General features: G+C 40.6%; 2 pseudogenes; both read left to right on the top strand.

Annotated features, from left to right (window-relative positions):
• Positions 16,354-16,815, top strand: EXOC7P1 (EXOC7 pseudogene 1; annotated as a pseudogene).
• Positions 16,513-18,463, top strand: LOC124900168 (exocyst complex component 7-like; annotated as a pseudogene).
• The last annotated feature ends 660 nt before the right edge of the window (positions 18,464-19,123 follow it).

The raw sequence follows: 19,123 nt of genomic DNA, 5'->3' as shown, positions 1-19,123 counted from the left end.
CCATCAGAGAAATGCAAATCAAAACCACAATGAGATACCATCTCACACCAGTTAGAATGGTGATCATTAAAAAGTCAGGAAACAACAGGTGCTGGAGAGGATGTGGAGAAATAGGAACACTTTTACACTGTTGGTGGGACTGTAAACTAGTTCAACCATTGTGGAAGTCAGTGTGGCGATTCCTCAGGGATCTAGAACTAGAAATACCATTTGACCCAGCCATCCCATTACGGGGTATATACCCAAAGGATTATAAATCATGCTGCTATAAAGACACATGCACACGTATGTTTATTGCGGCACTATTCACAATAGCAAAGACTTGGAACCAACCCAAATGTCTAACAATGATAGACTGGATTAAGAAAATGTGGCACATATACACCATGGAATACTATGCAGCCATAAAAAAGGATGAGTTCATGTCCTCTGTAGGGACATGGATGAAATTGGAAATCATCATTCTCAGTAAACTATTGCAAGGACAAAAAAACCAAACACCGTATGTTCTCACTCATAGGTGGGAATTGAACAATGAGAACACATGGACACAGGAAGGGGAACATCACACACCGGGGCCTGTTGTGGGGTGGGGGGACGGGGGAGGGATGGCATTAGGAGATATATCTAATGTTAAATGATGAGTTAATGGGTGCAGCCCACCAACATGGCACATGTATACATATGTAACAAACCTGCACGTTGTGCACATGTACCCTAAAACTTAAAGTATAATTAAAAAAGAAAATTACCAGGGATTCATATCTAATCTCCAATGAAATATTGAAAAGTTAAGTTATTAAAATTGCCTTTAAGGCTTTGATGATAACCAGCATTTGCCTAATATCTTTCATCTGTGAGTTTTCAAAATATTGTAAAATTAGTATGAGTAACTCAATTTTACATATGGGAAAGCTGAGGGACAGGGTGGAATAAAAACTTGCCCAAGTTTATACAGAGAAGCAAGAATGGAACCTAGCTTATGATCTTCCTGTAAATCACAGAACCATGGTGTTCTGAAATGAAAGGGTCTGGATGATTATCTGGTTCTACCCTCTGAGTGTAGAGGCTGCGGTGCAGGAGGGTCTAATGACTGGTCCAAGGTCACAAAGCTAGTTAGTAAGTGAGCTGCAGTAACAATCATGCTCCGTGAATCCCACTGCTGGGTTTTCTTCCCTTGTTCATATGGCCTGAATATACAGTATCCCTTGGTATTGGTAGGGGATTGGTTCCAGGACCTCCTGCCAATACTCAGAACTGCAGATGCTCAAGTACCTCATATAAAATGGCATAGTATTTGCACATACCTCCTCCTGCATACTTTAAATCATCTCTAGATTACTTATAATACCTAATACAACACAAATGTTCCATAAATAGTTGTTATACTGTATTGTTTTTTATTTCTATTACTTTTTATTGGTGTATTGTTAATTTTTATTGCTTTTATTCCCCCAAATATTTTCAATCCACAGTTGGTTGAATCCAGATGCAGATCCAGGGACTGGGAGGGCTGATGGAGGGCTGACTGTGTTTCTGCTCAGGCAGATGTGAAGTGAGCCCTAAAAGAACTTCCCACTGGCCAAGGTACTTTCTAACTGCAGAATCATGCTTCTTCCCATATTCCCCCAAGGGATAATTGGCTCTAAGAGGGCTGACTATCCATCCTTCCTCTGAGGCTTGAAGACCCAGTATGAGATCCAGGTTGAGGATAAGGAAGGGTGGCTTAAGGAAGTCCACCCAGCAGTCCTTGTTTCAACTGGACAGTGGCATCTCCCAGACTCTTCAACTGCATCTGCTGCTGCAGAGGCTGCCAGTCATCAAACTGGAGGTCTGGTAGTTGCTAAAATGGCCTGGCAGAATTTGGTGGCTACTGACTGGACTTATTGGTTCCATTGAAGTGTCTTAATGGTGCCTTCTTCAACTTGAAAATGCTTGTGATTCTTCCTCCTACAGGCCACCCCTAAGCAAAGAACAACCTCCTATTTTTCGTTTAAGTATTATTTTGGCAACCACAAGAGATGGCAACCCTGCTGCAGTTGAAAATGTGCTCCACATCAAAGCCACACTTTCTTTTCAGCAGACTCACAAAGCTTTTTATTTCCAGCCCTCCTGAATACTCCACACGCCACCAATGTTTACATTTTTGTCCAGCCTACGCGTCTTTTCCTGCTTAAGAACCATATGCCCTATCACTTTAGTCATGTGGCTAACACACCCTGCTTCCTTCCTTTTCCTCCGGCTTTTCTGGCCTCTGACTCAGTTACACCCATCCTGGCAGGTAGAGAACTTTTTTTTAACGTATCAATTCTTGCCAGTGCCCTCTGATGTGGTTCTCTTGTGCAGCATAGAAAAGTTCCAAGAGTCCCCAGTGTTCCTCACTACTGATCCCTTCATACTAAGTATTTCACTAAATGTTCTCTGATGGTGACCACTGTAGAGTTTGTTTCATCTGAAGTCTGCTTGTACTGTTCTTATCCTTAGTAAACAGGAGGCAGTAAGAAGTGTTGTTTGGGTTTGCAAGAAAGGTACAAATTTAATGAGGCTGCAATCTGTATCTTGCCTCAAAAATGAAAATAGAAACCCCATTCTACCCAATTACATTAGGTGGAAAAAATGCAACAGTCATATTGGGAGCAGTAAAGCCAACACTGCATGTTCTCACTCATAGGTGGGAATTGAACAATGAGAACACATGGACACAGGATGGGGAACATCACACACCGGGGCCTGTTGTGGGGTGGGGGGAGGGAGGAGGGATAGCATTAGGAGATATACCTAATGTAAATGATGAGTTAATGGTTGCAGCACACCAACATGTCACATGTACACATATGTAACAAACCTGCACGTTGTGCACATGTACCCTAGAACTTAAAATATAATGAAAAATATATATATATAAAAATTAAAAAAAATTAAAAAAAGAGACTTATTCTCGAATCCTGTTAAAGAAAGCGGAAGTGAATTTTCCAGAGAACTCCCCATTCTTTCATAGTGCAACTCCTTAAAACATCAAGTCAAGCCATCTTCTTAGGTTGTGGCTGGACTTTGTAATTAAGTCATTCAACAAAATATTTATTGACTCACTACCAGGTTTGGGGAACTGTGCTAGGTTCTGGAGATAGAGGAGTGAGCAAAACACATGCAATGCCTGCCACCATGGAGATTACAGTCTAGTAGAAGACTATGCATTGGCTGCCTACCTTGCTCAACTAGGTCAAGTCAGTCAGTTGACATGTTAAAAAGTTAAATATCCATGGAATACAGGGTATTATATAAGGATATAGATGATTTGGTGTTGAGATCTTTAGTAATAAGTCCTGCTAAATCTGGAAGCTGCAATAAAGTCCGGCTTAGGGTCAGCAGCCTCCCCAGCAGCAGGCCCCACTGCGCACTAGGGCAGAGACAGTAGCCAAGTCAGCCTTTTGGGTGCTCTCTAGGCACAGCATGGGCTAGAGGACACTTTTCACCTACTTACACGGCATGGAACATTCCAAGAGGGCCCACACTCTGTGCTATGTACATAGTCTCATTGAATACTCATAATTACCCTGGAAGTAGGTTTTGTTGTTTCTGCTTTATGGAGAAACTGAAAGTCAGGAAGGAAAGTGACTTGTTCAAGATCAATAGCTAATGTCAGGTCTGAGCTCAGATCTGTTGACTCCAAAGTTCTTGCTTTCAGGGGATGATCACACACTCTTAAACCAGAGAAATTAAGATCTGCAATGTAATATCTTAAAACTGAAAACCTGCCAAAGTCATCATTTGTGTAATAGAGAAGATATACTTTCAGAAAGAAGCTGTTTGACGGTTAGATCCATAAGGATGGGGTTCAGTAGTAAAATATTTTCCCTCCACCTCACCTTTTCTTTTCTTATCTCAGAGCTTTTAACTACAGAAGTACCCTTTGATTTTACACACACACACACCACACACACCCCTACATCAGTTTCAAAAGATGTATTTCACATCTGGATCTACTATTTCATTTTTTGCCCCAGTCCAGACCACAACAAAAACACCAACACAAAAACATGAGTAAAAGGGAAATATTGTAGGAGCATTCACATGAGAATTGTTATTTAGAAATCATGTCCCTGAGCTCCACTTGTTTTGCCTCTCTGATCCAGTCCCCAATTCTCCAGACAATGTAATAGTTTGTCATACCCTAAAGGAAAACAAAAAAGCCAAAAACTACTTCAAAGCACAGAAAGTCCTCACTAACTTAAAAGAAATGATCAAGCAATTTAATATGAAAATAAGTCAAACTTATTTTAAAAAACAAACATAATTTGAGTCCTATTGAATGAAGCAAAATAAATAATTAAGTTTTTTTTTTGAAGCAGATTATTTTGGAAGGAAATCAGGCTTTTGTAAGAATTCCTATGGTTGTTGAGTGTGGTCAGGTGGTTGCAACATGGGTATGGAAATGTAGAATTCATGGCCTCCTTCTCCAAATCGTGAATGTCTGATGTACTATAAGCTTTCAGAAAACTTGTTTACAAACTCTATGCTGTTGTTTGGCTGTCTATAACATCAGCATTACTTTTACAATATCATTTTTTAACTAATGACTCTCATAAGATTGTAGGAACTTACAACGCAAGTGGAATCATCCTGCCATGATACAGTCTGACGGGCAGAAGGGCACCATGTGATGAAAAGAGTGATCAGGAGACATCAGTGAAAAAGAGGTCTGTGTTTACATCAGTGTCTGTGGGAACTTAACATATAATGGGTCACGAATGGACATGGAGCCCAGACAACGAGGAAGGCACAAGGTCAGTTTTTGGAAGGAGCTAAGGAGGGAGGTACGTATTTATAGAGAGTCTGAGCTATATGCTGAGCTGTGGGAAAATCCAAAGCCTGGGTCAGAAAGGTGAGCTGGCTATAAAAATGGAGCAATGAGGTGAGAAATGAGACAGAACCCAAGATTAACAGTAGTGGCAATGGATGGAGAGGGTTTGAGAAAAGATTCCTTTCTCCATACTAATGAAGATAACGTTGCATAATTATTGATTTATAAGTATCCATTATATGCTAGAGTCAGCATTAAACATGCACATGACACACTCATTTTATTTATTTATTTATTTTTGAGACAGGGTCTCACTCTGTCATCCAGGCTGGAGTGCAGTCGCATGATTCTAGCTCACTGTAGTCTTGACCTCCTAGGTTCAAGTGATCCTCCCACCTCAGCCTCCCGAGCAGGTAAGACTACAGGCACATGTCACCATGCCTGGCTAATTTTTTTTTTTATTTTTTTACAGAGATGGCGTCTTACTATGTTGCCCAAACTAGTCTCGAACTCCTGGCCTCAAGCAATTCCCTTGCCTTGGAATCCCATAACACTGGAATTATAGGCATGAGCCACCACACTCAGCCTGACATACTCATTTTTAAGCAAAGGACTTCTAAGTCATGGCTTGTTAATCTAACACCGACGATAACGTCCCAGGCAGAAGCCACAGCCCAGAAGACTTCCCAGCGTGGGAAGGCTTAGGAGACCAGCTGGCATCAGGCACATTCCACAGAAATACTGAGAAACTTGTGAAGAACAAACAGACCTGGCAGGAGCAAGAGGAAGATACCTGGCCTGAGTAGCACTAAATATGTCCCAATTAAACAGAACTACTATCCCAATTAAGCAACTGTCATGACCATTAATAAACACAAAAGGGTGTGTTGCACGATGGCCTGATTCAGTGCCGTTACTGATTTAGTGCACTGTAATGATTATTAATAATCCTCAGCTACTTCATGCTTCTCTGAGTGCTCTGGGAATTCACATTTGCCTGGATCCTTGAATGAAGATGATACTGGAAGTGAAACTCAAAGAGAATCATTTGGATGGCCGAAATAGGTCTGATGAAACTGCTGATACAGATGCCTGAGCATTTCATGGAATTCTGGGCCATTTCCTCTCCCTGGTCATCTCATGTCTTGTGATCTAACCAGCTCTTAGGGGTTCCTTGGTCAAGCACTCTGGCCCTGCTTCCTCCTTTCACTTGGCTGGCAAATCTCATATAGACTTCAATGGCGAAAAGCTGTCAACAGTTCATAAAAGGATCAAACACCTTAAGATGTTGTATACAAGTTCCAGTGATGTTTTCAAATATACTTCCTTTCCTAGTTCCTCACAGATAACCTTTTGGCATCCAGTGAAGTAACGTGGAGGGTAGATACCCAGTTCTGATTTGGGGAAATGTTTTCCACCCACTAGTTGTCATCATACATGGTTTGGTTCAACACATTTCATCAATGGAATCTTGTGATGTTCCTGTTAGCAACTTTTTTTTTTTCCTGGGGAATAGGGGTCAAGGAAAGGCCTTTCAAAGGAGGCCAACTGTAAAGAGCTGGGCTTACTTTCATGTCTGCCATCACAGCTCTTAACTATTGCTCCCCAAAGAGAAGCAAAAGAAAACACAGCTTTCCATGACACCTGTTCCTTTCATGCCAGCCTAGTTCCAAGGAAAAAGATTTTCCAAATCAAGTAGAGATTTCAGATGTTTTTTTTAAATTTCCAACTCTGAGTCTAAATATTGGTAAAGAGAATGCTTAAAGAGGACTTGAAAGATAAAAGCAAGGTGTTTTGCTAACATCATATCCATGGCTAGTGGGATTGTTTTGGGGTGTGTGTGCGTGCGTGTGTGTGCGCATGTGTGTGTGTTTTGATTTCTGGGACAGGAGGCAATGAATGGATAAACTAGCAAGGAAAAAGTGAGACTGGGCCATTAGCCCATTGGTAAGAAAATCACAATCTCTGGTAATCTATGAGAAATATTTCCTAAGGACCTTTTTTGAGACCTTGCAGCTTTTCTCAATTGGAGTTTCTCATGTGAACCACAAAACAGACAATGATTTAAGTGACTATTTTCTCAGTTCTCCCAAGATGGCACAGAGCTAGTACTATCCTGGAATATGCATAGAAGAGAAGGTAATTCGTTGTGTACAATGGATATCTTACAACAATTAGGGCTTAGTTCTATCCCTGAAATGGTTGAGGAAAACCATTAGAAAAACACCACACCCAAGGCCCATGCCTGGAGACAGACCAAATACAAATTGCCTTTCCAAGAAGCACAGATGACTAAAGTGGTTCAAAAATAAATGTATGTACATACTTGAAAGATAACTTTCATGTAGTCACAAAGTTTAGGGAAAATTCTTTCTGATAAATCTAAAAGTTCCAAAAGTCTTTTAAACCTTTCGATGACGGGGTTAAGAAAAAAATGATGTGCATTAAGGGCCGACTAAATGTTTCAGTTATAGCTGGGTGCAGTGGCTCTCACCTGTAATCCTAGCACTTTGGGAGGCTGATGGGGGAGAATCACCTGAGGCCAGGAGTTCAAGACCAGCCTGGCCAACATCACAAGACCCCATCTCTACAATTTTTTTTAAAATTAGCTGGGCAGGATTGTGCATGCCTGTAGTCTCAGCTACTCAGAAGGCAGAGGCAGAAGGATCACTTGAGCCCAGGAGTTCAAGGCTGCAGTGATCCATGATTGTGCCACTGCACTCCATCCAGAATGGCAGAGCAAGACCCTGTCTCCACACACACAAAAAAAAAATTAAAAAAAAAAAGGTTTTAGCTGTAAGTTAGACAATGTCTGTTGTCAAGGCTCTCATAATCATTGCAGGGAGGAGGACAAGCATACAAGATGGCCCTGGGAGCAAGAGACAGAGATAGATGAGAGAAAGATTAAGGAAATTAAGGAAATAGAATCTTTACGAGTTAGTAATCAACTCTATGTGTAGATTGAAGGAAGGAGCTAATTTGAGTGGTTGGTTTTTCCAGGCCTTAAATGGAAAATACATGAGGTAAAATTGATTTGTTGTGGTTGTCATTATTGTGGTTGCTATTGCCATGTGTGGTGGGAGAGATGGTGACAGCCAGCTTAGCGCTGGAAAAATTTGAGGTTCCATTAAGGCACTCAAATGAAAGTATACTGTAAATAGTTGGACACAGCTCTGAGTTTCAGGAGAGAGGTCTCACTGGAGATGCAGATCTGAGAATTATTAAAGATTGTGAAATATGTCCAGCTTACTCATGGAAGATGTGTTTACTGAGAAGAGGAAAGGTCTTTATTTTTGAAAACTTGAGAAAGAAAGCTGTATTTTCAGTTGCACATTCAAAAGATGATTTAAAAGCAGCCATCAGCAAAATCCATAGTATTAATCTGAGAAAACCTTTGCATGCTTGCTGCTTTAGGGACTAAATTCAACAGCTTTGACACTGTTTTCTTGGATGCAACTCCTTTTTCGCCTTTCAAATGCTATAATTCTCCAGTTTTCCCTAAGCACTTGACTTCCCTGAGAGAGACCCTAAAACCCTCTGTGCTTCAATATGTCCTCTTTGGAAATCCGTTTGATTATGCTGCCCATTGCAGGAGGAGATTAAATAGGAAGATTAGCTAATAGATTTTAATATAATTAGTATCCAAGTAGCCAAAATTTTGCCAGACTCTTGACAGCTTAAAATATCTACATCTGGCCGGGCATGGTGGCTCACGCCTGTAATCCCAGCACTTTGGGAGGCTGAGGCGGGTGGATCACGAGGTCAGGAGATTGAGACCATCCTGGCTAACATGGTGAAACCCCGTCTCTACTAAAAATACAAAAAATTAGCCGGGTGTGGTGGCAGGCGCCTGTAGTCCCAGCTACTTGGGAGGCTGAGGCAGGAGAATTGCTTGAACCCGGGATTTGGAGGTTGCAGTAAGCTGAGATTGTGCCACTGCACTCCAGCCTGGGCGACAGAGCGAGACACCTTCTCAAAAAGAAAAAAAATCTACATCTACTCTTGTGACAAAACAGACAACTAGGATAATATGAAATTTTAAACACTGACTTCTGTCTATAAACCATTACACAAAAACGTTCTCATGACAAATATTGAAACATTGTGTATGCATGACAAATACTGAAACATTGTCTACATTGCAAAATACTAAGAAAATAATGTAATTTGAAAAGTAAAATTTGGCATACCGTAAAAATGAGAGATTACATATAGTTACTTTCACCTAGGTAAGTGAATAAAGATATCAAACATTAGTGATAATATTCAAAATTATATGTAGTAATTAATTGGTGTAAAAAATCAATGAGTATTATAGATTAAAATAGATTGTTTTTTCTAAATGAAACAAAGTAATTAGCTCCAATGTCTTCATAAATATACTCCCCCTCACAAAAGGTTCCTTACTATGTAGATTCAAATCCTTGCTCCATAGCATAACCTTGGGCAAATTATTTGACTTCTCTAAGTCTCAACTTTCTCATTTTACAAATGAGAAATACCATTAGAACTTTTGGTTAAGGCCAGTGTAAGGAATCAATGAGAGAACAGAGTCTGGTACGTATGTTCAATAGATATTGAAGTGATGATGCCTGAAAGTGGTTTTGAATTGAGATGTGACTCAAAACCACACTTTATGAAAACAGAACATTAAACAGCATTATAAATTACAAGACTTTTACAATATGACACTGATGGAGAGTCAGAGCTGCTGCATTTGGCTGCGAGTCTGTGCACTGAATAATTCCAGGGCTCCATTTACAGATATGGTGACATGCACAGAGCCTGCAGTATTTATGCAATGCAATGGTCCTGGCTAGAAAAAGAAATTAACCCACATGGAAAAGAACTTTTCTTCCCTCTCGGAATTCACAAAGAGTGGTTTTTCTTCATTTAATCTTAGACTTCTTAACCTCTGTACACAGTTTTTCACTTCTGCTACTTTACCTAAATCAATGATTCCAAATAAATATCTCCGTGGGCCAGGAGTTGAAAAAGTATTGTGTGCACTAAGCTTGCTATAATCAAAAGAAAGAAGCAGCATTACCTAAAGCTATTCATATTCAAATGGTTTTGAAACACTGCATAGACCAAATAAAACACATTTGTATGCCTTAGCACACTAATCAACTTTGTGGCCTTGTTTGAGTCATGTAATTTCAGTTTTTTTAATCTAGAAAAGTGAAAGGATCATTTTCTTACAGTGACTCAAGAATGACGATCACAGAAACTCAGAGATTCAGCTCTTGTTCAGTCTTTTCTTTTAACCCCAGAAATTATTGTCTCCTGAGTCAGCTAAAGATGGTGGTCTGAAAAACAGCCTGTTTCCGCAGAAGCAGCTCGATTCCCCTCTTCCCACTGCTCTATTGCATGGTCTCTATTTATTTGAGTATTGCTTTTTAAAATTACTTAAGGGAATAAATGTTTGTTTTAAATTATAGCATTGAAAAATACGGCCGGGCACGGCGGCTCACGCCTGTAATCCCAGCACCTTGGGAGGCCGAGGCGGGAGGATCACGAGGTCAGGAGATCGAGACCATCCTGGCTAACACAGTGAAACCCCGTCTCTACTAAAAATACAAAAAATTAGCCGGGCACGGTGGCAGGTGCCTGTAGTCCCAGCTACTCAGGAGGCTGAGGCAGGAGAAAGGCGTAAACCCAGGAGGTGGAGCTTGCAGTGAGCCGAGATCGCGCCCCTGCACTCCAGCCTGGGCGACAGAGCGAGACTCCGTCTCAAAAAAAAGAAAAGAAAAATACAGAAAAACAGAAAAGAGAAATAAAATTTACCTATGGTCATATCTCTGACAATATGTATGATGTCACATACATATTTGGTTTTTCCTCTGGTACACATTCACATATTAGTTACACGGAATTGGGATCATTCTATGTATGCTCTTTTAAAATATACCTATGTTGTTTTTAAGATTTAAATCAATGTATCTTTTTAGAATAGTTTACAGAAAAGTTGCAAGGATAGTGCAGAGTTACCGTATACCCAATACCGTTTTCTCTATTGTTTACATCTTACATTACTGTGGAATTTTTGTCACAACCAAGGAACCAGCATGGATACATTTTTATCAACTAAACTACACACTTTATTCAGATTTCACAAATTTTCCCCTAATGTCCTTTTCTCTGTCTCAGGATTCCAATCAGGATACCACATTACATTTAGTAATCATGTCTCTAATTCTCCTCTTGGCTGCGACAGTTTCTCAGATTTTTCTTGATTTTTATGGACTTAATATCAAAAGGTTACTGGTTAAATATTTTGTAGCATGCTCCTCAGTTTGGATTTGTCTGATATTTTTTCACTGTTTTGTAAACATTGTGAGTTTTTGGAAGGGAATACATAGAGTTGAAGTTCATTTTCATCACATTCTATCAGGAGTATGTGTATCAGCTTGAATTATCACTGATGAAGGTAACTTTGATCACCTGGTTGAGTAGCGTTTACCAGGTTTCTTCATTATAAAGTAACTTTTCCACCTTTTCGTATTCTACTCTTTGGAAGCAAGCCGCTAAGCACAACCCATTCAAGGGCTGTGGTGTTAAGCTACGTCACCTTGAGGGAGGAGAGTCTACATGAACTACTGGGAATTTTTCTGTTTAGGAGATCTGTCTCTTCTTTATGTACGTGTTCAGTCATTTACTTATATCAGTATGGGCTCATGCTATTTATTTTAAACTTTAGATTATAATTCTGTGTTATGTTACTATTTTATTAGGCTGGCACAAAATTAATTGCAGTTTTTGCAATTAAAAGTAAGGGCAACAACCGCAATTACTTTTGCACCAACCCCAACATACCGTTTATTTTGTTGTTCAGATTGTTTGGGTATTAAAAGCTCTTTCAGGCCGGCTCCTGGGCCCTTCTCACATGCCTTCATCCTTTTACTTTTTGAGCACTTCCTAATTTCCCGGCACAACAAAAATTGTTCCAGGCTCAACTTGTATATTCTCTGTCCCAGCTCTACAACGTGTCTTTTCTCCAGGGAGTCCTGGTTCCTTTTATTGGAGAAGAGTATTAAAAACCAAGGTATGAGCAATTGGTGTGTTTATTCCTATCATGATGTCATCGTGATAGGCCCTTTCAGTAGAAAGATCTACGAAACCTATGTATGTGTACCAAACCATGTATTGCATATGTCTATGACTACTTCTGTGCCTATTCTTCTGAATCTGTATTAAGATAAACATGAGTTCATACTGGTGTCTCCAACTCTAATCTATTACCACATGGTTCATTCTAACCTTGCTTCTCTGTTACATCCCTCTTTAATCATAAGAAATGTGGCTCCAACCAGCTGCTGTCAACTTATTTACTTGTTCAATTCCAGTAAACATATTCAGCAGTTTCAGAATTGTTAAACCATATCCTCAGGAGAAACAAATTTACCAACTAGAAAACAGTGCTTATGTTCAATCTTCAGTTCTTTTTGTCTTTTGTTTTGTAGTGTCCAGTTAAAACACCATTTTTGTATAAAGTGGACATGGTGGCTGACACCCATAATCCCAGCATTTTGGGAGCCCAAGGAGGGTGGATCACTTGAGGCCAGGAGTTCAAGACCAGCCTGGGCAACATGGCAAAACCCTGTCTCTACAAACATACAAAAATTAGCCAGGCATGGTGTCATGTGCCTGTAGTCCCAGCTAGTCAGGAGGCTGAGGCAGGAGGATCACCTGAGTCCAGGGAGGTTAAGGCTGCAGTAAGCCAAAATCACACCACCGCACTCCAGCCTGGGCGACAGAGTGAGACTCTGTCTCAAAAAACAAAAACAACAACAAAAAAACCCCCACTGATATGGTTTGTCTCTGTGTCCCAACAAATCTCATCTCTAATTGTAATCCCCAGATGTTGGGGGAGGGTCCTGGTGGGAGGTGATTGAATCATGGGGGTGAGCTTCCCCTTGTTCTCCTGATAGTGAGTTCTCAAGAGATCTGGTTGTTTGAAAGTGTGTGTGGCATTTCCCCCCTTGCTCGCTCTCTCCTGCTCCACCATGGTAAGACATGCTTGCTTACCCTTCACCTTCTGTCACGATTGTAAGTTTCCTGAGGCCTCCTAGCCATGCTTCCTGTTAAGCCTGCAGAACTGCGAGTCAATTAAACCTACTTACTTCATAAATTACCCAGTCTCAGGTAGTTCTTTATAGCAGTGTGAAAACAGGCTAATACACCCACCATTTTCCAAAGTTACTTAGGTGAGCGTCTAATTCTCCCCAAACCCTTCAGTGGGGTTATGTCATATATTTGTAATACAATTATATTCTTTTGTCAGAGTCTACAGTCTATCCTGAGATCTGTTGACCTCTTCGTCGATTTTTTATTTGCATACATTAAGGTTCATTCTTTGTGCTGCAAAGTTCTCTGTGTTTTGACCAATACATAGGATCATGTATTTGCCACCACAGTACCACAGATTAGTTCCATCACACTTTAAAGATGCCCAATGCTTCCCCTAGTCAAATACCTCTTTCCCCCTAAACTCTTGGCACCACTGATATGTTTTCTATCCGTATAACTTTGACCTTTTCCAGAATATCATATGGTTTGAATTATATTGTGTATGTAATATTGTATGTGAATTATATTGTGTATTCTTGCCCTGGCTTCTTTCACTTGTAAAATGCATTTGTGACTCATCCATGCAGGTGAGTGAAGGAATGGCTAATAAATACTATTCATTGCTGAATAGTATTTCATTGTATGGATATACCACAGTTTGTTCATCCATTCACCTACTGAAGGAAATCTTGGTTAATTCCAGTTTTGAGTAATTATGAATAAAACTGCTATAAACATTTGCATGCAGTTTTTGTGTGAACATAAGATTTAAAAACAGTTAGGTAATGCCTAAGAGAATGATTGCTGGGTATACGGTAAGCCTATGTCTAACTCTATAAGAAACTGCCAAACTGTCTTCCAAAGTCGTATAGCATTTTGCATTCCCAGTAGCAATGAATGAGAGCTCTGCATTTCTCACCAGCATTTGATATTGCATTTTTTTTATTTTAGCCATTCTAATAGATGTGTAGTGGTATCTCATGATTGTTTTAATTTGCATTTCCCTAGTAACAAATGATATTCAGCATCTTTTCATATGCTTATTTGCCATCTGTATGTCTTTTTAAGTGTAGTGTCTTTTCAGATATTTTGCCCATTTTTAATTGGGTTGTTTGTTTTCTTATCATTGAGTTTTAGAGTTCTTTATATTTTCTAGATAAAATTCTTGTCAGAAATATTACTTGCAAATATTTTCTCCCAGTGTGTTGCTTGTCTTTTCATTCCCTTAGTAGTGTCTTTCATGGAGTAAGAGTTTTAAATTTTGATTAAGTCCAATTTACCTGTTTTTTTCTTGGGAATTATGCTTTTGGTGTTGTAGCTAAAAACTCTTTGCTTAACCCAAGATTATACAGATTTTCTCCCATGTTTTTTTTTTTCAGAAGTTTTATAGTTTTACATTTCATCTTCAGGTCTGATACATTTTGAGTTAATTTTTGTATAATGTGTGAGGTATACATTGAGATTCATTTTGCTGTGCATGAATCCCTAATTGTTCCAGTACTATTTGTTGAAAAGACTATCATTTCTCTATTGAATTGTCTTTGCACCTTTGTTAAAAATAAGTTGACTATATTTATGTGGATCAACTATTTCTGGGCTCTCTACACTTTTCATTGATGTATGTGTCTATCATTTTCCTATTTCCACATTGTCTTGATTACTGAGGCGTTACAGTAAGTCTTGGAATTCAGTAATAGGAGTCTTCCAACTTTGTTATTTTTTTCAGAATTGTTTGGCTAATCTTAGTTCTTTGCTTTTCTGTGGTTGGGAGGGGGCAATATTAAAAATCACATTTTTGATACCCACAGAAAACTGCTTGAATTTTTGTTTTAAATCTGTAGGTCAAATTGGGGGAAATTGGCATCTTAACAATCCTTGAGCATGACATAGCACTCCATTTATGTAGGTCTTCATTGATTTCTTTCATTATAGTTTTGTAGTTTCAACATACGGATCTTATACATATTTTAATAGAATCATATCTAACAACTTTTGCTGCTATTTTAAATGGTATATATATTTTTTGCTTTTATATTATTTTTAATTGACACATAATAATTGTACATATCATGGGGAACAGTGTGATATTCCAACACATGTATACGATGTCTAATGATTAAATCAGAATAATTAGAATATCTATCACCTCAAACATTTATCATTACTTGTATTGGGGACATTCAAAATCTGTGCTTTTAACTACTTGAACATATGCAACAGATTGTTGTTAATTATAGCCACCTATCATGCTATAGAACACTAGACCTCACTAGACCTTATTCCTTCTAACTAGCATTACTTTTGTGTTCATTAACCAACCTTAGGCAATCCCCTCCTTCCTCTACCATTCCTGGTCTCTAGTAATTGCTCTCTACTTCTACAAGATAACTTCGTTAGCTTCCTCACATGAGTGATAGTGTGCAATATTTATCTTTGTGTGGTGTATTTCACTTAATATAATATCCTCGAAGCTCATCCATGTTCTCACAAATGACAGAACTTTGTTATTTTTATGGCTAAATAGTATTCAATTGTCTATATGTAACTTTTTTTAATTCATTCATCTGATGATGGACACTTAGATTAATCTGAGTCCATATCCTAGCTATTGTTAATACTGGGGCAGTAAACATGAAAGAGTAGACATCTCTTTAACATGCTCCATATTTCTTTGGATATATACCCAGTGGTGGGATTGCTGGATCATGTGTTAGCTCTACTTTTAGTTTTTTAAGGAACCTCCATACTGTTTTCCATAATGGCTGTACTAGTTCACATTCCCACCAATAGCATGTAAGAGTTCCCTTTTCTCCACATCCTCCCCAGCATTTGTTACTTTTTATCTTTTTGATAAAAGCCTTTCTAACTGTGGTAAGATAGTATCTCTTTGTGGCTTTGATTTGCATTTTCCTGATGATTAATGACATTGAGCATTTTTAATGTACCTGTTGGCCATTTGTATCTCTTCTTACAAGGGATGTCTATTCAGCTCATTTGCCCATGTTTTAATGAATTATGATTATTATTTTGCTGTTGACTTGTTTGAGTTCCTTATATATTCTGGATTTAATCCCTTGTCAGATGGATAGTTTGCAAATATCTTCTCCCATTCTGCAGGTTGTCGCTTCACTCTGTTGGTTGCTTTCTTTGCTGCACAGAAGTTTTTAGTTTCATATAATCCCACTTATCTATTTTTGCTTTCATTACATGTGCTTTTAAGGTCTTCTCCATAAACTCTTTGCCCAGACCAATGTCCTTAAGTGTTTACCCTATATTTTCTCCTACTAGTTTCATAGTTTTGGGTCTTATATTTAAATCTTTAACCCATTTTGAGTTTATTGTTTTATATGGTAAGAGATAGGGTTCTAGTTTCATTTTTCTGCACGTGGCTATCCAGTTTTCCCAGCACCATTTATTGAAGAAACTGTCCCTCCCACCAATGAATGCTCTTAGTGCCTTTATTTATAGTCAGTTGCAGGGTGGGGAGCGCTGAGGAGTGAAACTAGGAAGTGGGAGCCATAGGGTTTGCAGATATGATCCTTCCACTGGAGGCATTCACCTGGCTGCCAGAGATTGAAGAGAAGCTGAATCAGGAGGAGGAGGTGCTGTCCTATATTCAAGACAGCCTGGAGAAAAGTGACCAGCTCACCAAGAACATGATGTCTATCCTGTCATCATATGAGAGCTACCATATAAAGCTGGAGAATTCCATCATCCTGGTGCACAAGCAGACAGATAATCTGCAGCAGCTGCAAGACAATTTTGAGAAGACGCTATCCATCCTGGACCACATCATCAACTCTTACCATGTTGCCAGTGACACTTAGCAGATCATCAGAGAGGGCCCCACAGGTAGGCCGGAAGAGTATCTGGGAAGCATGGCTAAGATTCAGAAGGCTGTGGAGTATTTCCAGGACAATAGCCCAGACAGCCCAGAACACACATCTGAGCTCTGCAGCCTGATGACCAGGCACAATAAGTTTGTATCACCTGTGCTCATCCTGGATCTGATCGGTGGTGATGATGATCTGGAGGTACAGGAGATTATGTCCCTGGAGCACCTGCCCAAGAGTGTGATCCAGGATGTAATCTGCATCGCCTGCTGGCTGGTGGAATACAGCTGCAACCAAGAATTTATGAATGTCTACTACAAGATTTGCTCCAGCCAGCTGGACCGCTTCATCAAGGCCTGGAGAAGTATTTCTGGAAGAACAGTTCTTTTTCTGGAATTCCCTACTGCCCTTCTATCCCCAACAAGAGGAAAAAGACACCTGCCAAAAAGCCAGTCAAGTGGCCAGGGATGTCATAAGGCTCAAAACCTTCTGAAAACAGTATTCATTCCAAGCATGGCTTAGTTGCAGAAAAGGGATGCTCTAACCTCCTTCCTTTGGAAGGTCAAGAGAATAATTTCAAAGTTAAGCACCTGTCCGAGGCCTTGAATGACAAGCATAGGCTGCTGGCCAGGAGAGATGGTGGACATGAAGACTGATGCCTACGTTCACTGTGTCAGTACCTTTGTCAAGCTGACCTAGAGTGAGTGTCAGTTGCTGGCTGACATCATCGCTGAGCACCATCAGGAGAAGACCTTTGACTCTGATACAGGATGTGCTGGATGGGCTGATACCTGAAGGGGAGAGTATTGTCTCCTGCTCAGAGGCCATCATTTGACACAACTTTTCCATGGTGCTTACTGTCTTCTCCATCCCGCAGGGCCTAAGCACAGCAAGCCTGAGTTTGACCAGGTGCTCTAGGGCATGGCCGCCATCAGCAAGAACAAATCACCTGGCCTCATCATCTCCCTAGAGTCTATTGGAGCCAAAGCACTGGAGGACTTTGTGGATAACATCAAAAATGACCTCGACAATGAATGCAACATGCCCAAGAATGGCACCATGCTCACAAGCAACGTCATCCTCTTCCTGCAGCAGCTTCTGGACTTCCAGGAGATGGTGGGTAACATGCTGGCTTCCCAGGAGGCCAGTTCTTCAGCCACAGCCATGGTTCCAAGTTCAGCAAGTGACTGCTAAGCATCTATATCTGTAAAATTCTGGGCAGCCTGCAGTTGAACTTGCTGAGCAAGTCCAAGGTATATGAGGACCCAACTCTGAGCACCATCTTCCTGCATAAAAACTACAACTACATCCTCAAGTTCCTGAAGTCTGAGCTGATCTAGCTGGTGGCTGTGACTCAGCAGACTGCTGAGCACCCCCACTGGGAGCATATTGAGCAGTAGATCCCGACTTACCAGTGCAGCTGGCTAAAGGTGACTGAATATTTCACAGAGAACAATATACTTGTGTTCCAACCAGGAGTCAAACTCTAGAAAAAGGAGCAGCAGATGATCAAGGAGTGTTTCAAGGGCTTCAATGATGGCCTTGAAGAACTGTGCAAGATCCAAAAGGCCTGGGCTATTTCAGACACAGAGAAGAAGGACAGGATTTTCCAGGCCCAAAAAAACATTGTCAAGGAAACCTATGGGGCCTCTCGGCACAAGTTCAGCAGCATGTCCTTCACCAAGAGCCTGGAGAAGTACATATACACATGGAGCAGGTGGATGACATGACCAATCACCTTTTCAACACCTCTGCCTGAGTCTTCCGCTAGCCCTGCCTGGTTGTGCCAGACTAGCCAGGTCACTGGACAGATAACTTGCCTCTGGGCTGGGTGAGTTTGAAGTCCTTTAGGAAAGAGACTTGTCTTCACTGCCCCATCCAGGAGCCCCCCTCCCTGAGCCCTCTAGTCTTGGTTTCTGCTTTTTCCCCGTAGCCCATGTTTCCAACCAAACCAGCATTCACCAAGAAAGCTGGGTTCCTTCTCATCTTGGGTTTTGTGACGCTGATAGCTTGTGAAATAGGATAGGAGAGAAAGAAGACAGAGGCCTGTGCCCACAGCTGCCTCATGTGTACCAAAAGCAGGAGGGCAGAACAGCCCTACCTCTGGCCTCAGTCAAAAATGGGTACTAGCACTTCCTTTTCAGTCCAGAAATGTGGGTAGTTCTCAGAGGAGTAGTCAGAAGGCCTGGGGAAAAGCAATCAGGTTCTCTTGGATTTTGTGCAGAAAACACATTCCCCATTGCCCACAGACCTGAGGTCTGGGGCTGTTCCATCTCCTAGGAGTCCCCTAGGTGACTGGGGGCAGGAGTGCCTGCCTGCTCGCCATTCCCTCTGGGGTCCAGTACTCTCTAGGAGGCATTCAGAAAAGGAGCCCTGACCCACCCTCTGTGGCCTGCTTCCCAGGCCCCCGTCTCCCACT

Source organism: Homo sapiens, chromosome 4 (assembly GCF_000001405.40).
Source record: "Homo sapiens chromosome 4, GRCh38.p14 Primary Assembly".
Classification (NCBI taxonomy): domain Eukaryota; kingdom Metazoa; phylum Chordata; class Mammalia; order Primates; family Hominidae; genus Homo; species Homo sapiens.
Note: the sequence above shows the minus strand (reverse complement) of the source record. Positions and strands in the feature narration are given on the sequence as shown.